Raw genomic sequence first — 8137 nt, forward strand, 5'->3', positions numbered from 1 at the left:
TGATAATTATAAGGACATTAAAGTCGCAAAGTGATCTGTGAATGTTCCTACCTTGTCTTTTTTTTCCCCCAATAGTTGTTGCTCATTGTTTTGGTTCTCCATCTTCCTTCCAATTCTCTAATAATCCTTTAGGATCAGTACCTAATCCCAGCAAACAAAAATATTCAACAAGTCTCTGCGAATTACGATGAAGAAAAGATGAATTTTAATTAAAAAGAGGTGAGCTATTAATATGTATTACTGTCAACTTTGTGCTCAGTAACGTGGGATTCACAGTAAGAACAATGATATAGAAAGTCAAAGATAACAATACAGAAATACTTGTTCAGTAAGCTTTTAGCATATATGAGCTATCTGAAATGTACAATTGTGTGTCCTATCCATGTAAAAGTTTGCCTTTCTGTAAAGGAAATAATGCATTAGGTAATGCTGTTAAACAACATAGTGGTTAAGACTCTAGATGCTAGTGTAAGACTGGCCATATTCAAAATCTGGCTCAATTGCTCACTGATAATGTAAACTTAGACAAACTACTTAATATCTTTAAACCTTAGCTTTTTTGTCCATAGAACAAGGATAATATCAGTACCTATCTCATTCAGTTGCTGCAAGATGGTGTTTAGAAGAATAATAAAATTTTAATAAAAGCTTAGTTGTCTTATAACTAAAATCTATTGGAAAAACTCATGCCTGTAATCCTAACACTTTGGGAGGCCAAGGCAGGCAGATCATTTGAGGCCAGGAGTTGGAGACCAGCCTGTCCAACATGGCAAAACCTCATTTCTACTAAAAAATACAAAAATTAGCTGAGCATGGTGACAAGTGCCTGTAGTCCCAGCTACTCAGGAGGTTGAAGCACAAGTATCACTTGAACCTGGGAGGCAGAGGTTGCAGTGAGTCAAGATTGTGCCACTGTACTCTGGCCTGGGTGACAGAGTGAGACTCAGTTTCAAAAAAAAAAAAAAATCTATTGTTTTTAAAAATGCATTGACCAAGTTAGAGAAATAGTTATATAAGGTAAGTTGTGTGAATGTATGTTTTTACATTTATTTTGTAATATAAAGAAGGCTGTGTACTTGTATAATGCATTCATTTCTAAAAGAAATAACTGAATTTCATATTTTCAGAAAGACATTATGATGAATAATTTATAAAATTTTATTTATTAAATATTTAGCTTTGTTAGATACAATTTTTCTTACCAGGCTTTGATTGCAGTAGTAAGGGAACGTTTACTAAAAAGCCGTTGTTGTCTCACATATGTCCTTATGCTGATGTGTCATTTGTAAATGGAGACACTGGATCTTTAATGCTTTTTCCCCCTCAAGGAGAGTTCCTACCAAGTAGAAAATAAAACTGGTTTGCTGATAGTTTTTTTAAATTTACCTATTCTATGCATTGTTCCAGAATGGATATGAAACTTTCATTATTGAGTTAGGCTGATTTCATTACCAGTCAATTCAGTGAAGAAAGAAAGGCCAATCAAATCACATGCTATCTTGATAAAACAACTAATATTATCCATCTACCTACCTATCTATATTATTTTACAATTTCACTTCATGTATTTTATAGGAGCTTACACTGTTCGAAAACATGTTCTGACTTGTGTTTATATACACTTTTTTTTTGGGGGGACGGAGTCTCACTCTGTCGCCCAGGCTGGAGTGCAGTGGCACGATCTCAGCTCACTGCAAGCTCCACCTCCTGGGTTCACGCCATTCTCCTGCCTCAGCCTCCCAAATAGCTGGGACTAGAGGCGCCTGCCACCACGCCCAGCTAATTTTTTTTTTTTTTTTTTTTGTATTTTTAGTAGAGACGAGGTTTCACCGTATTAGCCAGGATGGTCTTGATCTCCTGACCTCGTGATAAGCCCGCCTCCGCCTCCCAAAGTGCTGGGATTACAGGCGTGAGCCACCGCACCCAGCCGTGTTTATATACACTTTAAGACACTGAATTGTGACTACCTCAAAATTGTTTGGTCCAGCCCAGTAACACTTATTTACACAGATTAGATACCAGACACTGTTTTGGGTGTGGTCTTTCAGCCCAGTAACACTTACTAAACACAGATTAGATACCAGATACTGTTCTGGGTGTGGTCTCCAGAAACAGATCAGGGACCTCCAAGGATATATTTTAATGAAATAATGTCACTTTTATTCATAAAATGATATCTCCCAGATTGCCTGTGTGGTATGGTGTCTCTCAAACATTTCCCCACAATACTTTGTATGGCACCCTATACTTCTCTGTAGCAGGCTTCACATTTATAAATAATTACTTGTTTATAGCAATCACACCTTTGTTAGAGCACAAGTTCCAAGAAGATAAGTCCATTTTATTCATTACTGTATGCCCAGATCTTAATAATGGCTGGCACTTAGCAGGCTTTGAATACATTTTTATAACATGAAAGACTTTCTGACATTACCTCTGATGGCAATATGAGTCACATACCTCTTAAGTTATGGGGCATAATCCAAAGCTGTCTCCTCTAACAATCAGAAAATACCTTTGAAGTTCCCTGTTTTATTTACTTTTAAAATGTATGATACTTTTAAATTCTCATCCATTATGTTTCTTTTAATGTGTGTTTTGTTATTCTTAAAAATGGATACTTTAGGAAATGTATCATGGTTTTAAGGATACATCTGTGTGTGGCATATGGGCTTTGGAATTGGAACTCTTGAAAATCTGCCTTGATTTTTAGCAAATATCTTAAACTTGAGTTAGCAGCTGAAAAATGGGGCTGAGAATATTTACCTTGAAGGCTTTTGTTGTTGTTTTTTAAGAGAGTAAAATGAAATGTGCTTAAAGTTCTTGGTTTTTGTTTGTTTGTTTGAGACAGAGTCTCACTCTGTGGTTCCATGGTGGAGTTCAGTGGCATCATCTTAGCTCACTGCAGCCTTGAATTTCTGGGCTCGAGTGATCCTCCTACCTCAGCCTCCCAAATAGCTGGGACTACAGGTGCATGCCGCCATGCAGCTAATTTTTAAATTTTTTTTGTAAAGACAGGATCTCACTATGTTGCCCAGGCTGGTCTCAAACTCCTGGACTCAAGTGATCTTCCCGCCTTGGCCTCCCAAAATGCTAGGATTACAGGCATTAGTCACCAGTCCCAGCCTGAAATGTACTTAAAGTTATTAGCATACATAATATACCCTCAAATATTGTTCCCTTTTCCTTTTTTTTTTTTTTTTTTTTTTTTCGAGACAGGGTCTTGCTCTGTCACCCAGGCTAGAGTGCAGTAGTGCAATCATAGCTCACTGCAGACTCGAAATTCTAGATTCAAATGACCCTCTTGAGTAACTAGAACTACAGATGTGGGCACCCACAACCTGCTAATTTTTTAATTTTTTTGTAAAGAGGGGGTCTCACTATGTTGCCCAGGCTGGTCCCTTTTTCCTTCTTACTAGAAAATTTCTAGCTCCCTTCCAAGAATCTCAGCTTATACCTGGTTCTTTCAATATGTGGTTAATAACTGTCAACTAAGGACTGAAAGTATTTTCAATCCTTGAGCCATGCCTATGGCTCTTCATCTGGGGGACAGAACTCTTTAACTGAGTATAATGAACACCTCATAGATTACATTTTCTAGGCAAAATTTTTAACCAATGCCAACAATGTCCACAGAGAAAAATTAGATTGAATTAACTTTTATTACTACTTGTTTAACACAGATTTACTTGTCTTAGACAAGTAAGAATTTATAGAATCTATGCTCTATTGCACTATATAGAAACTAGAAATGCAGTTATACTGATGTAGTGCAGTTTGTGGGAAATCAGGAATGGTGTTCTCCAGAATACATGAAGATTCTCATTGATTGTTGCAAGGAATCACGAAAGAGATCTTTGGTCCAAAGAAAACGTCTCTGAAAGAAAATAGAGCATCAATTAAATTCACCTTAAGGCTAAGATATTAGTTAGTCTATTCTAGGTTAAAAATAGACAGTGATTTCCAGGATTTCAGTTATGATTATTCTTTTTAGGTGACTAAAATGTAAAGAGATGAGTGGGAGGACTTGCCACAGAAGCAACAAAGACCGAGAAGGTAATCGATTTGTCTACTTTCCCCGCATTTGCCATTGATATCATGCTGTCATTTACGAAGAAAAAGAAATATTAGGTAATTTCAAAACTTTATGGTCATGTATACAATTTCATGTCTCTTATATGAGGATAGGCCATGAAGTTTAAATCTGCAGTTAGGAAACAGAAGATTCAACATTTCTTGTTTATTAAATAAATTTCTAGGTTTTATGGGGAAAGGAGAAATGTTACAAAGCTACTTAACTTTCCCTGGTTGAAAAGATCACATAAAGTAATATATAAAAATGCATGGAATAATACAAAATTATATACAAATGCAAGGTGATATTATAATTATGGCTTATTAGAAATATACTTAGCAGTATTTCTCTTTGATTTTCCCAAAATCAAGTATACCCACACTGCTGTTCTCATCCCTTAACAGACATAATCACAAAATTATATCATAATATAAATGTAAGTCCATTTCAGTAAACTGTTTTCAAGTCATACAAAAAAAAAGCAAACATGGCATTTTAATATTAGTTGGCATTTCATTTATGTAGTACAGGAAAAACTGTCACTTCATGAGATTAATTAACTCAAGTTCTTGGCATCATTGTTTAGTACAGTGATTCTTAAACTTTACTATGCATTAGAATCACCTGGCAGGTTTGTTAAAACATAATTGCTGGGTCCCGGCCGGGCGCAGTGGTTCACGCCTGTAATCCCAGCACTTTGGGAGGCCAAGGCGGGCAGATCACGAGGTCAGGATATCGAGACCATCCTGACCAACACGGTGAAACCCCTTCTCTACTAAAAATACAAAAAGAATTAGCCGGGCGAGGTGGCGGGCGCCTGTAGTCCCAGCTACTCGAGAGGCTGAGGGAGGAGAATGGCGTGAACCAGGGAGGAAGAGCTTCCAGTGAGACGAGATCGTGCCACTGCACTCCAGCCTGGGCAACAGAGCAAGATTCCGTCTCAAAACAAACAAACAAACAAACAAACAAACAAACAAACAACCATAATTGCTGGGTCCTACCTCCAGAGTTTCTGATTCAGTAGGTCTGGGGAGGAGTCCAAGGATGGATATGCAATTTTAAAAACTCAGGTGATGCTGAAGCTGCTGTTCTGGGAACCACACTTTGAGAACCAGCTGGCTTGGTAGAAGAAAAATCTGTTCTTAATCAGAACACGTGGGTTCTAATCCCAGTGTTGATATTAGCTAGTTATGTGGGATAGTACTGGTCACTTCAACTCTGCACCTTTCCTTGGTAAGATGGTTATATCTACCTTTTCTATTTCACAGATTTCTTAGAAGGATGAAAATATGATGACATCTGTTGAAAGTAATTTGAAAAAGCTAATTTCAATATGAAATATCCAAGACCATGGGATTTGAAAGATTCCTCAATAACCAGGGGGAAATGATTTTAAAATCAAGAACTAAAAATATTTATGAATTTATCTACCATCATTTTATACCTTTTTTTGTTTGTTTGTTTTTTTGAGATTAAGTCTTGCTTTGTCGCCCAGGCTGGAGTGCAATGGCACGATCTAGGCTCACTGCAACCTCCTCCTCCTGGGTTCAAGTGATTCTCCTGTCTCAGCCTCCCAAGTAGCTGGGATTACAGGCATGTGCCACCATGCCTGGCTAATTTTTTTTGTATTTTTGTAGAGACAGAGTTTCACCACGTATACTTGTATTTTAAGTACAAAACGATAGTAGATAAATCAATAAATATTTAAGCTTAAAATATAAATAGAAAACAATGGTAGATAAATTGTCTTGAACTTCTATCTAGTTCATTTCTGGTTAACTTATACATAGAGCTAGAAATTTATTTTTGACCGTTACTAAACTTTTCTGTTCAGTTAATTACTTGATCCATTCACTGAGTTTTTTGTTGTTGTTGTTCGTTTTTTTTTTTTTTTTTGAGATGGAGTTTCACTCTTGTCACCCAGGCTGGAGTGCAATGGTGCGATCTCGGCTCACTGCAACCTCAGCCTCTCAGGTTCAAGCAATTCTCCTGCCTCAGCTTCCTGAGTAGCTGGGATTACAGGCACATGCCACCACGCCCAGCTAATTTTGTATTTTTTTTGTATTTTGTATTTTGCATAGAACGGGGTTTCACCATGTTGGCCAAGTTGATCTCGAACTCCTGACCTCAGGTGATCTGCCCAACTCAGCCTCCCAAAGTGCTGGGATTACAGGCGTGAGCCACCGGGCCCAGCCTCACTGGGATCTTTTATCTAAAACCTTTTACTGGTTTTCAAGTTGGTTTAAGAGTTCAACCTTGAGATTGACTTCTGCTACTGGTAGATTTTTATTTTTGGGGGGGTAAAAATCAGATGGTGAGTTTAGAATTTAATAGATTGAAGTATTATTTTCTGGATTTAATTTACTTTTATTAAACTCAGCTAAATTCCATTTGAACTTTCATTTAAATGAAAACATTTAGTTCTTTACACAATAGTGATTATTCTAGAAAAGAGCTGGGATTGGAACAGGATTTTACTAAAAGGGTTATTAATTTCAGCAAACCTATTATGAAGATGTAGCTAAAAGTTGTTCTGCATACATTTCCAGGCAATACACTTTGTGATACCATTTCCTTACTTTGGGCAGCAGAGCAATTCGCTGAAGTTGCAGTAACAGATCATCTCACATCCCTTCCCATCCCAGAAATGATCCTGGACATTGACATCAATCTGTGTCAGGTCAGCTACTCCTTCCGGAAGGTTGTGACAGTTGTGATCTTTTAGTATCTTTCTGTAGCAAGAGAGGCGATTTGCAGGCATGGCTTGAACTCCTAGCAGCAAAGTTAGCCCAATGGTGAAAACAAGTACCATCAGTTTCATTTTGGCTTTTGGCCCTGAAATAGAAGAAAGACCAAAATGTGTCAATGTTTGTTTTTTAAAGATAGAATTCATCTGAATGAAGTTCTGTAGCATGCTTATAAACCCTTGGATAGAAAGAATGGGAGTTGGGCTTTTCTACAATCCTGTTTGTGTTTCTCAAAGTGTAGTTTTATGACCATCTATGATAAAAAACCATTTGGAATATTTGTTAAAAATCAAATGCGCAGGCTTCTGGGCCAGGCACAGTGGCTCATGCCTGTAATCTCAGCATGGGAGGCCTATGTACAAGGATTGCTTGAACCCAGAAGTTTGAGACCAGTCTAAGCAACATAGTAAGACCCTGTATCTACAAAAAATTAAAAAATTAGCCAGGCATGCTGGCATGTGCCTGTAGTCCCAGCTACTCAGGACCACTTGAGCCCAGGAGTTTGAGGCTGCAGTGAACCATGATTGTGCCACTGCTCTACTGGGGGTGGCAGAGTGAGACCTTGACACACACACACACACAGTCACGCACAGGCTGTAGGCAGGGAGGAAGTGTTGGTGGGGGCTGCAATCTGCATTTAAGAAGTACCCAAAGCTATATATCTTTTGAACATTCAGTAGAGAACAACTGTTTTTTAAGGTGGTATAAACTCAGGCAAATTTCTAGAACAAATAACATAATTGAATACAGTGGTTCTTTACCTTACATTATCTTACATCCTAACAACATTGTCAAAGTACCTGGGTCCCATCCTGACAGAAACAAAAAACCCATTTATGTTGATAGTGACAGATGATAGTGTATAGATATATTTATAGTTTGATTGTTTTTTAACTTCCAGAAGTAGTTTAGTACACATTATGGTTGCAAATTTTTAGCAATGCTTGGATTTTTATCCCACATAGACTACTTCCTCTTAGCTGCAGTTGAAAATGAAGGCTTGAATTCCTGCGTTATAATCATCTAGCCTTCCATGAACTCCTACCATGATGGGGAACTCATTATTAACTAAGTCAACATATCCCATTGATACAGTTCTAACATTTCCCTTATTGTAAAATACTTTTCTGTGGCTTCCACCCACTAATCCTAGTTTGAACCCTGAAGTCATACCAACAATTCTAATTTCTCTTCCAGGAGATAATTTTTCAAGTACAGGATTTGCATAGAAGTATAGAATATTAAATATCTATCTAATTAGACTTCTCTGGTTTCTACATTAGATGTGAAGAAAATGGAGACTATTGTAGTAAAG

General features: G+C 37.5%; 1 protein-coding gene across 3 annotated transcripts in view; it reads right to left on the reverse strand.

Annotated features, from left to right (window-relative positions):
* Positions 1–182: 182 nt before the first annotated feature.
* SCRG1 (stimulator of chondrogenesis 1) overlaps positions 183–8137 on the reverse strand; it is a 134444-nt gene continuing 126489 nt past the window's right edge. For all 3 annotated transcript variants that reach the window (XM_047449563.1, NM_001329597.2, NM_007281.4), the window contains 2 exons: positions 6655–6910; positions 183–3877 (listed from right to left, as the gene is read on the reverse strand). In XM_047449563.1, coding sequence (XP_047305519.1) covers positions 3823–3877; positions 6655–6896 — 297 coding nt within the window. In that variant the 5' untranslated portion in view covers positions 6897–6910 and the 3' untranslated portion in view covers positions 183–3822. The remainder of the gene's footprint in view (positions 3878–6654; positions 6911–8137) is intronic.

Source organism: Homo sapiens, chromosome 4 (genome assembly GCF_000001405.40).
Source record: "Homo sapiens chromosome 4, GRCh38.p14 Primary Assembly".
NCBI classification, from domain to species: domain Eukaryota; kingdom Metazoa; phylum Chordata; class Mammalia; order Primates; family Hominidae; genus Homo; species Homo sapiens.